Raw genomic sequence first — 17,049 nt, 5'->3', positions numbered from 1 at the left:
GTACTTTTTGTAGATACAGGTTTTCACCATGTTGCTTAGGCTGGCCTCAAACTCCTGGACTCAAGCGATTCTCCCGCCTCGTGCTCCCAAAGTGCTGGGATTACAGGCGTGAGCCGCCGCACCTGGCCGCCTCCTTTCTTTAAAAGGAGTTAGTGATAGCACCTCCTTTGTGGGGATTCGGCAATAAATGTGCCTGCAGTAGTTGGAGCAGTGCCTGGTGTGTAGCAAATGGCATTAGCATCTATTCAGACCCCTCATTTTATAGGAAAAGGAAGTGATTTATCATTGCCACCCAGCTGGTTAGTGAGGGAACTGGAGGAAAAATGCTTCAATCTCCAGCTTATGGACCATTTCTTTGCAAAAATGAGAAACCTACTCTTCTGTCCTTGCTAAACCAGTGACGCCCACCTGCTGACTCCCAGCCCTGCGGAAAGGGCCACCTTGTAAATCACAAGGCCCCACCTCTGCTGAGGAGACCAAGACCCTTTACAAGCCCAGGCAGGACCCCTGACATCAAACTGGCAGGAAAACACAAACTCAGTCATCTGAATTTTTTCTTGGGAATCTGAATTGGGAGACCCAGAAAGAATCAGGGAGCTGCAGGCAGGCAGAGACTAAAATGTCAGGCTGTCACGGAAGCCTGGGAGGACTGGATGAGCCCAGGCGAGGGGAACTGGAGCAGGAAGGAGCTCAGAGAAAGCCTGGGCCAAGGGGGAGGGGAAGACTGCCCAAAGAGGGGCCCTGGAGAGTCAGAGAGAGGAGTGCTTGCGGGAGAGCACAGTGAAATGCAGAGGGCCCACCACTCCTGGCAGCTCCCAGCCCCACGGGTCTCACTGCCCTGCGGTGAGCATTTGGGGCTTCCCAGGAGAGCTCTGGGGCGTTCCTTGCCTCACACAGCTCCTTAAAATACAGTGCACATACTGCGTCTGTGAAGCTGTGATGCCAGCAGCCCCTCTGCAGAACTGCTGTGCAGCGTATCCACCCATCACATCTGAAGCTTTGCCCTGGTTTTGCCTTTCGCTCAGGCAAGAGCCTGGACTGGCCAGCAACCTGTTGACCTGGCTGGTGTTGAGAATTGGTGTGAAAGTGAGTAATTAAGGCAATACGGGGGTCAGATCAGATGATGGCCTCTTGGAGAAGCAAGGCCATCTGCCAACGAGGGCATATTTCTAGAGAGAGGGTCCCCTCCCTCCGCTGTACAGCACACTGCCAAGGACATACTGGACCCAGAATCAGGTGTGGTCAGTAGTGTTGCCTATTTTCTGACTCCTTGTCTACTTCAAACCTGAAATTTTCCGTCACCTTTGAACATGAGTCTTCTTCTTGGATTTGGGAGGCACATTGTTTGTTTGGGTTTGCTTTTGTTGGTGGTGGTGGCAGTGGGTTTTTGTTGTTGTTGTTTTTGGTTTTTGGTTTCTTTTTTGAGACAGGGTCTCACTCTGTTGCCCAGGCTGGAGTGCAGTGGTGCAATCATGGCTCACTGCAGCCTCCCAGTGCTCAGGTGATCCTCCCGCCTCAGCACCCCCTTCCGCCTCATCCCCTCCAAGTAGCTGGGACAACAGGTGCGTGCCCTATGTGTGCTCTGTTTTTGTTGCTTTTATTTTTAGTGTGTCTCTCTATGCTATGAGCTTCCTTCTGCCTTCATCCAACCATATCCTTGGCTGATCAAGGTTGTTTTTTTAATTCTAAACTCCTATTTTTCTAGGGTCTATGGTTGGATTGGCTGTCGGAGATGAGTTGACAAGTTTATCATTATTACAACATCAGGTCAAAGGGAGAAAGGAGCCTTTGTTCTTCCTTGCTTCTACCACTGCCCCCCCGACAAGGCCCACTGAGGCAAGGAAAAAGAAGGAGGCAGGGAGGCATGGCCAGCCCAGGTGGGCAAGAAGGCACCATCAGCCCAGGTGAGCAGGGACAGATCATGAACCAAATGACTAGGGAGGCACCGTTAGCCCAGGCTGCACAGGACCAGCATAAAAGAATGAGTCTGGCAGGCCAGGCACGGTGGCTCACACCTGTAATCCCAGCACTTGGGGAGGCCGAGGTGGGTGGATCACCTGATGTCAGGAGTTCAAGACCAGCCTGGGCAACATGGTGAAACCCCGTCTCTACTAAAAATACAAAAATTAGCCAGGCATAGTGGTGCGTGCCTGTAATTCCAGCTACTTGGGAGGCCGAGCCATGAGAATCACTTGAACCCAGGAGGCAGAGGTTGCAGCGAACTGAGATCACGCCACTGCACTCCAGCCTGGGCAACAGAACGAGACTCTGTCTCAAAAACAACAACAAAAACAAACAAAAAACAAACAAAAAAGAAAGAGTCTGCCTACACAAGAATATGCTTATTTGGGTGTAAGTAACACAGAAAGGCTATTGTTCTGTTTCATGCAGGAGTGTGAGCTCATCCTGAAGAATGAGTCACTCTGAACAAGTAAGTTCTAGATGGTTACAGGCTCAATCCTATGTAAGCACCAAGATGTTTAAAACCTCTAAAATGTACGGTACAGTTTTAAAAAGATAAAGCTGAATTTTATTAAACTTTTCTTAATGACTGAGTCCCACTAATATGAACATCAATTATTCTCCTGCATTGTAATATATTGATGTCTGCTGGGCCTATAACATATAACATATATATATAATTCTCCCTGCAAGAAACGACCCCTGGCCAGGCACAGTGGCTCACACCTATAATCCCAGCACTTTGGGAGGCCAAGGGGGATGGATCACCTGAGGTCAGGAGTTCGAGCCCAGCTTGGCCAACATGGTGAAACCCCGTCTCTTCTGAAAATACAAAAGTAGCCAGGCATGGTGGCATGTGCCTGTGATCCCAGCTACTCGGGAGGCTCAAGAGGGAGACTCCATCGTCTCAAAAAAAAAAAGAAAGAAAGGAAAGAAATGACCCCTAACTGTAGTTTTTGGATTTCTTTTACCAGATACTGAGAGAGGAAAGTTAGCTAGCTTAATTGATTACTAAAGCAATGCACGTTTATGCTCAGGGGTATCCATAAGGCTGGGACATAACCAATCAGGACAGAAGCCAGACTTGGTGTGGAGGAAAGTCTGAAAGCTCCCTGCTCTGCCAGGAGTTAACCCTGGATTGGTGGATTGTAGGGAGATTGGGAAGTTCTTGGGAAGGGCTGAGCGGCAGGAGCAGCTGGAGGTACCATTGTGTGTGTATTGATTTTGTTTTTCATTGTTTTTTCATTGTTAGCATTTCTTTCTTTTTTTCTTTTCTTTTTTTTTTTTTTTTTTTTGAGATGAAGCTTCACTCTTGTTGCCCAGGCTGGAGTGCAATGGCGTGATCTCGGCTCACTGCAACCTCCACCACCCGGGTTCAAGTGACTCTCCGGCCTCAGCCTCCCAAGTAGCTGGGATTACAGGCGCCCACCACCATGCCTGGCTAATTTTTGTATTTTTAGTAGAGACGGGGTTTCACCATGTTGGTCAGGCTGGTCTTGAATTCCTGACCTGAGGTGATCCGCCTGCCTTGGCCTCCCAAAGTGCTGAGATTACAGGTGTGAGCCACCGCGCCTGGCCCACTATTAGCATTTCTAACATGGGCTTCCAGCTCTTGCCTCTTAGGGTTGTCTGTCTGTTCTCATCTCCTGGCTTCCTCATCTGTTTGGCAGAAACCAGATGACCACACTTCTTAAAATTACATGTCCAAGAAGAATGGATAGAGCTAAGCCAACAGCCCAGAGACTGTCCTCTACCTAAAATACACACACTCTGAAATGCCTTCGGCATTTTGATGCTAAACTCACAGATTTCTATTTCCTTTCTGACTTTCAGCTATATCCATATAAATGGAGCATTGACAAGTCATTGTGTAAACTAACCCACTCGCAAAATATCCAGCTACAGTCAGGTCCAACTCCACGGGGGGGCCCTTGCTTTCTCTCACTAGCCTCCTGGTGATGAGTTCCCCAGTCTTAGAGAGTATCTCCAGCCTCACACATCCTCCTGGAATTCAGCACCTGTTGGGTAGGGTTGTCTCCCAACAGGCATCTCCTCCTGTGTCTCTATCCTCTTCCCCACTGGGTACCAGTAACCCACATCCAAAAGCAATCAGCCCAAAACCCTAGTGGAAATCCTCTTTTCTATCATTAATTTAGGTATAAGCAAAATAGGAACCAAATACCTAAAAATATTTACAGCTCAGCCTGCCATCATCCTGTGCCCCTTCTCTGTGCAAACTCACCATCCTCCTGCCACGAGAATTGGATGTTCTGTTTGTATCTCTTGCTGGCTCTACCTTCTACTTCTTGTAGAAGTAGAGTTCTGTGTTCTGTGTCTTTTATGTGGCAGAAGCCGGGAAGTCTTCCGTGGGCTTTGCTCAAATGGGAGGGTAAAATTCCCTACTAGGAGTGTTGCATCTGTATATGCCTGGGATTGGCCAGAGTGACTCCATCTTGGTTATTATCCATGAGTCTTGCTTATATCTCTTCAGTGTGCTCCACCCCTAGTAGGCCAGAGTCTTGCTTATATCTCTTCAGTATGCTCCACCCCTAGTTTACATCTGCATGGCAGGTTTGTATGCCTTTCAGCTCCACCCTTCCCTGGTCAATAAGCAGGTCAAATCCACCCTTCCTGATCAAATGCATAATGAGTCGTCACCCTCCCCTCATGCCTAAGGGACCGATTATGCAAGCAGAGGATTGTATTAGTTTCCCACTGCTGTAACAAACTGCCAAAAACTCAGTGCTTAAAACAACACAAGTTCATTATCTTACAGATCTAAAGGTCAGAAATTCAAAACCAGTTTCACTGGGCTAAAGTCAAGGTATGGGCAGGGGTGGCTCCTTCAGAGGCTCTGAGGGGATCATCGGTTCCCTTGCATTTTTCAGCTCCTAGTGGCCACCTGCATTCCTTGGCTCGTGGCTTCTTCCTTGAATCACTCCAATCTCTTGCTTCCTTTGTAGTTTGCTTAGTCCTTAGTGCAGCTAGGTCCGAGTTCTTGCTCTACGACCAAGAAGAATAAGGCACACAGACAGTGGAGAGTGAGTAGAATAGAACAGGATTTATTAAACAAAAGGAAAACTCTCAGCAAAGAGAGGGGTCCTGAAAGCGAGGCAGAAATTTAAAAATAACAATCATAATAATAAGTACTGCACTTATTCACCCCAAGAAAAGTAAAAGCTAAGGCCCAGAATGTGGCAAGGCAAGGTTTCAAAAGAAAAAGAAAAGGACAAGTTTTCCTCTGCTTAGCAAGCTCATTTCAAGGACTGTTAACAACGCTGTCGGAATAGCCAAGGCCAAAGGAATGGGCTCCAGACACTCCCCTGCTTCCAGAGCAAGGTTGAGGGGGAAAAAAGAGAGAAAGACAGATTATTTTACTGTTACTCTTTTCTCAGTCTTCTTAAGCATTATTATGTTTTACAAATGTCTGTATTTAGCCAGCTCTTGTTTTTCTTTCGATGCAGCTGCAAGGCCACCAGCTATGTAAGGTCACAAATTATGTTATGCTATAGATTACGTGACCTGTCACTGTATGATTAACTGCTTTTGTTTTGCTTCTGTAAGGCCACTTATAAAAACCCCACTCTGTCTTTGTTCAATGCTCAGCTTTTTGGATGTGAGTCCACTGAGCCAGTGCATACCGAAAATAAACAATCCTCCTGTTTCTCTCATATTGGTCTCTCCATTCCTCAGTTTATTGCAACAAAAGCAAGTTGCCAGAAACAGGGCTGAGTTCTGTGTCTTTTATGCCGCAGAAGCCAGGAAGTCTTTTGTGGGCTTTGCTCAAATGGGAGGGTAAAATTCCCTCCTAGGAGTGTTGCATCTGTATACGCCTGGGGTTGGCCAGAGTGACTCCATCTTGGTTATTATCCATGAGTGCCTAAACAAAACCCACCAGGGGGCTAAAACCACAATGCTAATGTTATGTTAATGACATTATAATGAGCTGGGTCAAGTGAAGGACATTTAGGTTGATTTATTGCACCTGCGCCTTGGTTGGGACAGTCACTTTTGAGCAACATCCTGGCACAAGGGGAAATTCTTAACCACATTTCTTCCCTTTAGCTGTTCTTCAGTTGTTTCTGTGAACATTGTCCCACTCTGTCCTTCTCCAGAGACCCTCCCTCTCTATCTGCCTAACCAGCTGCTAACTGCCCCCTCCCTCACTTCCTCCTTTGATCTTCTTGACCTCCCTCATATTACGGTCCTTGTGATTACATTTAGGGTCTACCCAGATAATCCAGGATGATGAGATGAGACTTAGTCACATATGCAAGTCCCCTTTGCCGTGTAATGTAACATACACAGGTTCCAGGGGATTAGGATGTGGACATTTTGGGGGGGGTCATTATTCAGCCTACCACAAAGATATTGGGAATTACCAAGATAAATTAAACCATGAGTTGCTGAAAATTGGATTTAGACTTCAGAGAACGGAGTAATAACTCAGCAATGTCATGAAATATACCAGGAATGAAGAGTCATAGAGGAGCCAAATGAACAAGGGCTAGCCTGTCCAAAGAATGTACTATTGCCAGGACATTTTTTCTGAGCTCTTAATGGTCACAGTGATATGACTAGAGTCAGCTGACTAGACTGGAAAAGTCCTGGTAACCTGCAAAACAGTAAAGAGAGAAGCAGGGTCAAACACCCAGTGTGAGCCGGGCTCGCTGGCTCACGCCTGTAATCCTACCACTTTGGGAGTCTGAGGCTGGTGGATCACTTGAGCTCAGGAGTTAAAGACCAGCCTGGGCAACATGGTAAAAACCCATCTCTACAAAAAATACAAAAATTAGCCAGGTGGAGCTGGGCACGGTGGCTCACACCTGTAATCTCAGCACTCTGAGAGGCCGAGGCAGGCAGATCATGAGATCAGGAGTTCGAGACCATCCTGGCCAATATGGTGAAACCCTGTCTCTACTAAAAATACAAAAATTAGCTGGGCCTGGCGGCACATGCCTGTAGTCCCATCTACTCGGGAGGCTGAGGCAGAAGAATCACTTGAACCCAGGAGTGGAGGTTGCAGTAAGCCAACATCATGCCACTGCACTCTAGCCTGGGTAACAGAGCAAGACTCCGTCTCAAAAACAAACAAACAAACAAACAAACAAAACAAGCCAGTTGTGGTCGTTTGCACCTGTAGTCCCAGCTACTTGTGGGGCTGAGGTGGGACAATCGCTTGAGCCCAGGAGGCGGAGGTTGCAGTGAGCTGAGATCACGTGACTGCACTCCAGCCTGGGCACCAGAGTGAGACCCTGTCTCAAAAAAAAAAAAGACCGTGCTCAGACCAGCACTCCTTGAATGTGGCCTCCCTCACCCAAGATACAAGAGTCAACTTTTGGCTGAATCACAGTTTGGCATGAAGAGGGAAGCTCCACATCAGAAATATACAGTCTTGTGGCCGGGCGCAGTGGCTCAGGCCTGTAATCCCAGCACTTTGGGAGGCTGAGGCGGACAAATCACCTGAGGTCAGGAGTTCGAGACTAGCCTGGCCAAAGTGGTGAAACCCCATCTCCACTGAAAATAAAAAAATTAGCCAGGCGCATGTCTGTAATCCCGGCTACTCAGGAGGCTAAGGCAGTAGAATCACTGGAACCTGGGAGGGAGAGGTTGCAGTGAGCCAAGATCACACCACTGCACTCCAGCCTGGGCAACAGAGTGAGACTCCATCTCGAAAAAGAAAAGAAAAGAAAAAAAAAATATGCAGTCTTTTACTTAGTGTCCACACAAACTTCTATCATATTTTTTTCTTCTATTTATTTATTTATTTATTTATTTATTTTTGAGACAGAGCCTCACACTGTCACCAGGGCTGGAGTGCAGTGGCGCGATCTTGGCTCACTGCAACCTCCACCTCCTGGGTTCAAGCGATTCTCCTGCCTCAGCCTCCCAAATAACTGGGATTACAGGCACTCGCCACCACGCCTGGCTAATTTTTTGTATTTTTAGTAGAGACAGGCTTTCACTATGTTTGCGAGGCTGGTCTCGAACTCCTGACCTCGTTATCCACCCGCCTCAGCCTCCCAAAGTGCTGGGATTACAGGTGTGAGCCACTGTACCTGGCCCCATACTTTTTTTTCTTAGAGTCTTACTCTGTCACACAGGCTGGAGTGCAGTGGTATGATCAAAGCTCACTGCAGCCTCAAAATCTCAAGTTCAAGTGATCCTTCTGCCTCAGCCTCCCAAGTAGCTGGAACTACAGGTTTGCACCACCATCCCCAACTAATTTTTAATTTTTTGTAGAAATGGGGTCTCACCATGCTACCCAGTCTGGTTCCAAACTCCTGAGATCAAGTGATCATCCTGCCTTGGTCTCCCAAAGTGCTGGGATTACAGGCATGAGCCACTGCACCCAGCAAACTTTCACATATTGATCTAAAAATAAAAGAGATGTAATAGGGAGAGAGACTCTGTTTCAAAAAAAAAAAAGTCAATATACAAAATACAATTGTATTTCTGCAAAACAGCAACAATTAGAAAATGAAATGTAAAGTTTTTTTGATTTTAAAAATTATACCATTACAAGAACTCTGCATGGTCTTTGTAACTTTTCTGTAAATCTAAAACTATACTAAAATTAAGTTTCTCTTTAAAAACTTCTACCACTTTACAATGTCATCAGAAAATATCAGACACCCATGAATAACTCTAATAAAAGATTATTACTATTTTAGACAGGGTCTCACTCTGTTGCCCAGGCTGGAATACAGTGGCATGATCTCAGCTCACTGTAGCCTCTACTTCCTGGGCTCAAGCAATCCTCCTGCCTCAGCCTCCTGAGAAGCTGGGATTATAGTCATGCATCACCACACCCAGCTAATTTTTTTTGCACTTTTTGTACAGATGGGTTTTTGTCATGTTACCCAGACTGGTCTGGAACTCCTGAGCTCGAGTGATCTGCCTTGTCTCATCTTCCCAAAGTGTGAAATTACAGGTGTGAGCCACCACACCTGGCCAAAGATTACTGAGAGAAATTCAATACCTGAATAAACGAGGGAATTGGCAAGAATTTTTTTCTTCAGTCTCTGTGCTACTAGAATTTCTTTTTTTTTTTTTTTTTTTTTTTTAAGAATTTCTTGGTCGAGCACAGTGGCTCATGCTTGTAATCCCAGCACACTTTGGGAGGCCGAGGCGGGCAGATCACAAGGTCAGGAGATCGAGACCATCCTAGCTAACACTGTGGTTTACTACAAATACAAAAAATTAGCTGGGTGTGGTGGCACGCACCTGTAGTCCCAGCTACTTGGAGGCTGAGGCAGGAGAATCGCTTGAACCCAGGAGGCGGAGGTTGCAGTGAGCTGAGATTGTGCCACTGCACTCCATCCTGGGCGACAGAGCGAGACTCCGTCTCAAAAAAAAAAAAAAAAAGAATTTCTTAAACAGGGCTGGGTGTGGTGGCTCACGCCTGTAATCCCAGAGCTTTAGGAGGCCAAGGCAGGCAGATCACCTGCAGTCAGGAGTTTGAGATCAGGCTGGCCAACATGGCAAAACCCCATCTCTACTAAAACTACAAAAATTAGCGGGGTGTGGTGGTGCACGCCTATAATCTGTGCTACTTGGGAGGCTGAGACAGGAGAATTGCTTGAACCCAGGAGGCAGAGGTTGCAGTGAGCTGAAATCATGCCATTGTACTCCAGCCCGGGTGACAGAGTGAGACTCTGTCTCAAAAAAACAAAAAAGAATTTCTTAAACAGAATATTAAAAAAAAGAGATTATAGGCCGGGCATGGTGGCTCATGCCTGTAATCCCAGCACTTTGGGAGGCCGAGGCAGGTGGATCATAAGGTCAGGAAATCGAGACCATCCTGGCTAACACGGTGAAACCCCATCTCTACTAAAAATATAAAAAATTAGCCAGGCGTGGTGGCAGGTGCCTGTAGTCCCAGCTACTTGGGAGGCTAAGGCAGAAGAATGGCGTGAACCCTGGAGGTGGAGCTTGCAGTGAGCCGAGATCGAGCCACTGCTCTCCAGCCTGGGTGACAGAGCAAGACTCCATCTAAAAAAAAAAAAAAGAAAGAAAAGAGAGAGAGAGAGATAATCTGAGCAACACAAAAGTTAAAAACTCGAGGGGCATGGTAGCTCTCACCTGTACCCAGCACTTTGGGAGGCCAAGGTAGATCACTTAAGGCCGGGAGCTCAAGATCAGCCTGGACAACATAGCAAGACCACATCTCTACCCCCAAAAAAGAAAAACTAAAAACTTTAGTTCATCCAAACATGTCATACCAAGTGAGATGCCAAGCCCCATAGTAGGAGAAGATATTTTCAGTACATGTAACCAACAAATGACCCATATCCAGAATATATAAAGAACACTTACAAATAAATGAGAAAAAATCCAGCTCATATTCAAATAGGCCAAGACTCATGGTACCTTTCAAAAGAGGATTTCCAGATGGCCAATTAACATCTGAAGAGGTTCAACCTCTTTAGTGACAAGAGAAATGAAAATTAAAACCATAGTGATACCACTGCAAAGTCACCCTCACCCTGCTGGCAAAAATTTAAAAGGCTAACTGATATGGTTTGGCTGTGTCCCCACCCAAATTTCATCTTGAATTGTAGCTCCCACAATTCCCATGTGTTGTGGGAGGGACCCAGTGGAAGGTAATTGATCATGGAGGAGGGTCTTTCCCGTGCTCTTTCTCTTGAGAGTGAATAAGTCTCACAAGATCTGACGGTTTTATAAGAGGGTGTTCTTTGCACAAACTCTCTTTGCCTGCTGCCATCCATGTAAAACATGACTTTCTCTTCCTTGCCTTCCACCATGATTGTGAGACCACCGCAGCCAGGTGGAACTGTGAGTCCATTAAAGCTCTTTCGTGTATAAATTACCCAGTCTCGGGTATGTCTTTATTAGCAGTGTGCAAATGGACTAATACACTGACAATACCAAATGTTAGCAAGATTTCAAAGCAATGCGAACTCTCATACATTGCTAGTGAGGGTGCAGGAAACAGGTTCAGCTACTTCGGAAAACACTATCTACTAAAGTTGATATATCCAAATCCTATGACCTAACAGTTCTGCTCATAGGTATATACCCAACAGGAATCTGTACATTTGGGTGCCAACAGACATGTATAAGAACGCTCATGGCCGAGCATGGTGGCTCTCACCTGTAATCCCAGCACTTTGGGAGGCTGAGGCAGGCAGATCACTTAAGTCCAGGAGTTTGAGACCAGCCCGGGCCACATGGCAAAACCTCATTTCTACAAAAAATACAAAAATTAGCCAGGTGTGATGGCACGTGCCTGTAGTCCCAGCTACTCCAGAGGCTGGGGCTGGAGGATCACTTGAGTCCAGGAGGAAGAGGTTGCAGTAAGCCAAGATCATGCCACTGTACTCCAGCGTGGGCAACACAGCCCATCTCAAAAAAAAAAAAGGAATGTTCATAAAAACCCTACTCATTATACCCCCAAATTGGAAACAACCCAAATAGCCACTAATAGCATAATGGATAAATAAATGGTGCTACGTTCATACAACAGAATGAATTAGCTACAGCTATAGGCAACAACATGGATGAATCTTAGAATATGTTGATGAAAAAAGCCAATCATAGAAGAAGTATAGAATCTGATTCTATTTTTATAAAGTTCCAAAATGGACAAAGCTGACCTATAGTGTTAGAAATGATTGGAAGGGGGCCTCCAGGAGAGCTGGGCATGATTTTGACCCAGGAGACAAGTTACTCAGGGGTGTAACAGTTATTTCGGGGTATAACTTTCTTCTGGTGATGCTGGGATTACAGGTGTGAGCCACCATACCTGGCCAATTATTAACGTTTTAAGTTTTATCTACTGAAAATTGCACAAATTATAAATGTACAGTTCACAAAATCATCTCAAATGGAGGCAGTAGCAGGAGGATCGCTTGAGCCCAGGAGTTCGAGGCCAGCCTAGGCAACATAGTGAGATCCCACCTCAATTTTAAAAATTAAAAAAATTAAATGAGGTCAGACGCGGTAGCTCACACCTGTGATCCCAGCACTTTGGGAGGCCGAGGCTGGTGGATCACCTGAGGTCAGGAGTTCAAGATCAGCCTGGCTAACATGGTAAAACCCCTTCTTTACTGAAAATACAAAAATTAGCCCAGCACAGTGGCACATGCCTGTAGTTTCAGCTACTCAGCAGGCTGAGGCAGGTGAATCGCTTGAACCTGGGAGGCAGAGGTCACAGTGAGCCAAGATGGCACAGTGAGCCAAGATGGCACCACTGCACTACAGCCTAGGCAACAGAGCAAGACTCTGTCTCAAAATAAATAAAATAAAATAAAACAAAATAAAATAAAATAAAATAAAATAGGGCCAGGTACGGTGGCTCATGCCTGTAATCCCAGCACTTTGGGAGGCCGAGGCAGGTGAATTACCTGAGGTCAGGAGTTCAAGGCCAGCCTGGCCAACATGGTGAAACCCCATCTCTACTAAACATACAAAAAATTCATTGGGCATGGTGGCGGGTGCCTATAATCCCAGCTACTTGGGAGGCTGAGGCAAGAGAATCACTTGAACTTGGGAGGTGGAGGTTGCAGTGAGCCGAGATCATGCCATTGCACTCCAGCCTGGGGGACAGAGGGAGACTCCATCTCAAAAAAATAAATACATAAACATAAAATAAAATAAAAAATAAAGTGGCCACCGACTTCCCAGCCCCTCTGTGGCTAAAGGTAGACATGTCATGCACTTTATCTAATGGGATTCTGAGAGGTGCATGCTGTGATGAAGATGAACGCTGGAAATATTACACTAAGTGAAATAAGCCAGGCACAAAAGAACAGATGTTATATAATTCCACTTATATGAGGTAACTGGAATGGATATATTCATAGAGGCAGGAAGTAGAATAGTGGTTAACAGGGGCTGGAGACAGAGGGGAATGGGGAGTTATTTTTTGATGGATACGGGGTTTCAGATTGGGATGATGAAAAAGTTCTAGAAATAGATAGCAGTGATGATTGCACAACAGTGTGACTGGACTTAATGCCATCAAATTGTACACTTAAAAGTGGCTTAAGGCCAGGTGCAGTGGCTCACATTTGTCATCCCAGGACTTTTGGAGGCCAAGGCAGATGGATCATTTGAGGTCAGAAGTTTGAGACCAGCCTGGCCAACATGGTGAAACCCCGTCTCTACTAAAAATACAAAAAATTAGCCAGGTGTGGTGGTGCGCACCTATAATCCCAGCTGCATGGGAGGCTGAGACAGAAGAATCGCTTGAACCAGGAAGGCATTGGTTGCAGTGAGCTGAGATCATGCCATTGCACGCCAGCCTGGGCGACAGAGTGAGACTTGGTCTCAAAAAAAAAAAAAAAAAGTGGCTTACATGTTTAGTTTTACAAGATGAAGAGTTCTGGAGATTGGTTGCACCACAATGTGAACATGCATAACTGAACTGTACACCTCAAAATGATTAGAAGATTAGGACGGGACGCGTGCAGAGGCTCCCGCCTGTAATCCCAGCACTTTGGGAGGCCGAGGTGGGCAGATCACCTGAGGTCAGGAGTTTGAGACCAGCCTGGCCAACATGGTAAAACCCCACCTCTACTAAATTTACAAAACTTAGCCGGGTGTGGTGGCGGGTGCCTGGAATCCCAGCTACTCAGGAGGCTGAAGCAGGAGAATTGCTTAAACCCGGGAGGCGGAGGTTGCAGTGAGCCGAGATGGCGCCATTGCATTCCAGCCTTGGAGACAAGAGCGAGATTCCATCTCAAAAAAAAAAAAAAAAGGTTAGGATGGTAAATGTTATGTTGTGTATATTTTACTGTGATTAAAAAAAAAGTTAATAATGAAAAGTTCTTTGTCCGTTAATTTGAGAATGTAGATCAAATAGACAAATTCCTACAAGAATATAACTTAACAATGTTTAAGAGGAGACAATCAGAATAATTCTGTATTTATTAAAGAAATCAAACCAACGGTAGAAAACTATTCTCATGAATCAAAAACAAGCCCATAACATATTATGGGCAAGTTTTCCCAAACATTGAAGAAACAAACATTTCCAAAATTACATAAAACATAGCTTAGACAGGGCTAGGTAAACCACAGCTTGTGGGCCCAATTTGGCTTTTACGTATCGTCTGTGGCTACTCTCACACTCTAACGGCTGCGCCAAGCAGTCACAACAGAGACACAGGGCCTGGAAAACCCAACATGTTTACCATCTGGCCCTTTACAGGAAAAGTTTGCCAAAAACAGAAAACTCTCTCCAACTCATTTTGTGAGGCTCATATATCTTTGGCACCCAAATCTAACAAGAACAGCATGAAAAATAATTATAAGCCAGTGCCATTCATGAACTCAGATGTAAAAATCCTAACAGGATTGAATAGAAGGAATGAATGAATAAATGGCTGAATGATCTTCCCAAGACTTTTGTAGTTTTCAGACCATATTTGCTGGGCTTTTTTGGTCCCTTATGTAAGTGTCATCTTTTATTGATCAATCTCTTCCATTTACTCAACTGTGGCAGACACCAATCCCCTTCCCTTGCCCCCTTCCCAGCCCCTCTTGTGGCTAAGGGCAGACATGTCACTCACTTTTAGCTAATGAGACATACAGGGCCCTGGAGACACTTTTGGGCAAGGTTTTGCTTTCTTATAAAAATAGGCAACTGGGCACGGTGGTTTATACTTGTAATCCCAGCACTTTGGGAGGCTGAGGCAGGAGGAACACTTGAGGCTAGGAGTTTGAGACCAGCCTGGGCAACAAAGTGAGACTCCATCTCTATAAAAAATGTAAAAAATTAGCCAGGCATGCCAGCTGCAGTGGCTCACGCCTGTAGTCCCATCACTTTGGGAGGCCAAGGCTGGTTGATCACTTGAGGTCAGGAGTTCGAGACCAGCCTGGGCAACATGGTAAAACCCCATCTCTACTAAAAATACAAAAATTAGCCAGGTGTGGTGGCATGTGCCTGTAGTCCCAGCTACTCAGGAGGCTAAGGTGGAACCAGGAAGTGGAGGTTTCAGTGGGCTGAGATCACACCACTGTACTCCAGCCTGGGTGACAGAGCAAGACTCTGTCTAAAAAAAAAAAAAAAATTAACCAGATGTGGTGGCATACACCTGTGGTCCCAGCTACTGGGGAGGCTGAGATAGGAGGATCACTTGAGCCCAGGAGGTAGAGGCTACAGTAAACTATGATCGCGCCACTGCAGTCTAGCCTGGGCAACAGAACCAGACCCTGTCTCGAAAAAAGAAAAACAAAAAACAGGCCAGAGGAGAGCAGGGGAGCGTGACAGCATTGCTTCACCTCCCTTCTTTGGTCCTAAAATTAGGTCTGATGCCTGGAGCTGTGGCAGCTATCTTGCAGCCATGAAGATAAAAAGCCAGCATGCTGACGACAGTGGAGCAGAAGAGAAGAAGAGCCTGGGTCCTCAAAAGCTCCATAGGGCACCTGAGGCAGTGCCAGCAATTGCCACCAGATGTCTTGTTTTCCAAGAAAAATTACTCCTCTTTCTTTCTTTTTTTTTTTTTTTTTTTGAGACAAAGTCTTGCTCTGTCACCCAGGCTGGAGTGCAGTGGTGTGATCTAGGCTCACTGCAACCTCCGTCTCCTGGGTTCAAGCAGTTCTCTGTCTCAGCCTCCCGAGTAGCTGGGACTACAGGCACGCACCACCATGCCCGGCTAATTTTTGTATTTTTAGTACAGACGGTGTTTCACCATCTTGGCCAGGGTGGTCTTGAACTCCTGACCTCGTGATCAACCTGCCTCAGCCTCCCAAAGGGCTGGGATTACAGGCATGAGCTACCATGCCCAGCCACTCCTCTTTTATTGGGTCACTGGTAATTGGATGTTCTGTTACTTGCATCTGAAAGCATTCCTAAGTGATACATCCTCACATATACACTGTTTCAGTGTATATTTTCTAAACATCACTTAGAAAATATATTGAAGGTAGACCTGTTATGGTCTGTTAATGGATTGGGCCTGGGATTTCAATATTCCCACACTCATGAACATGAATAGGCTTCTTCTTCTTTTTTTTTTTTTTTAAGAAACAGGGTCTCGCTGTGTTGCCCAGGCTGCTCTCAAACTCCTGAGCTCAAGCGATGCTCCTGCCTCAGCTTCCCGAGTAGCTGGGGCTACAGACACACACCACTACACCCAGCTGGGAGTAGTTTTTAAGAATCATTAAAATCCTTAAGACTTACAGATGGACCCACCCATGGGTGAAAATAACCCTGGCTAGAAGTGTTCACTTTAGGCCGGGCGTGGTGGCTCACGCCTGTAATCCCAGCACTTTGGTGAAGCCGAGGCAGGTGGATCATGAGGTCAGGAGATCAAGACCATCCTGGCTAACACAGTGAAACCCCGTCTCTACTAAAAATACAAAAAAATTAGCCGGGCGTGGTGGCGGGCACCTGTAGTCCCAGCTACTCGGGAGGCTGAGGCAGGAGAATGGCGTGAACCCGGGAGGCGGAGCTTGCAGTGAGCCGAGATCGTGCCACTGCACTCCAGCCTGGGCGACAGAGTGAGACTCTGTCTCAAAAAAAAAAAAAAAAAAAAAAAGAAGAAGTATTTACTTTAACCTAGCATGAGCCAAGGGTTACTTTCTTTTTTCTTTTCTTTTCTTTCTTTTTTTTTTTTTTTTTTTTTGTGATGGAGTCTCACTGTAACAACCATGCTGGAGTGTAACCTCTGCCTCCTGGGTTCAAGGGATCCTCCCAACTCAGCCTCCCAAGTAGCTGAGACTACAGGCACCTGCCACCACACCCAGCTAATTTTTGTATTTTCAGTAGAGACAGGGTTTTACCATGTTGGCCAGGCTGGTCTCAAACTCCTGACTGTAAGGGTTGCCGAGAGATAAGACAAGTAGAGCCAAAGTCAGGCCAGCAAGTTTATTAACCTGCCGGGCTGCTCCTTTATAGTCAGAGGAGGCAGCCCCGAGCTAGCAAAGCAGGGGATTGATATAGGGGGTGAGGCTTGGGGATTTTCTAGGTGGGACCATATCCTGGGTCTGTTTGCCAGGCCTCTTGAAATTTTGCAAAAACAATTACTGGAATAGAACAAAGAAGATGGGTAATGGGGGCAGTCTGAGGAGGAAGTTATAGTGGTATAGCAGCCTCACAGAGGGGTTACAAGAGCT

Source organism: Homo sapiens, chromosome 1 (assembly GCF_000001405.40).
Source record: "Homo sapiens chromosome 1, GRCh38.p14 Primary Assembly".
In the NCBI taxonomy this organism is placed as follows: domain Eukaryota; kingdom Metazoa; phylum Chordata; class Mammalia; order Primates; family Hominidae; genus Homo; species Homo sapiens.
Note: the sequence above shows the minus strand (reverse complement) of the source record.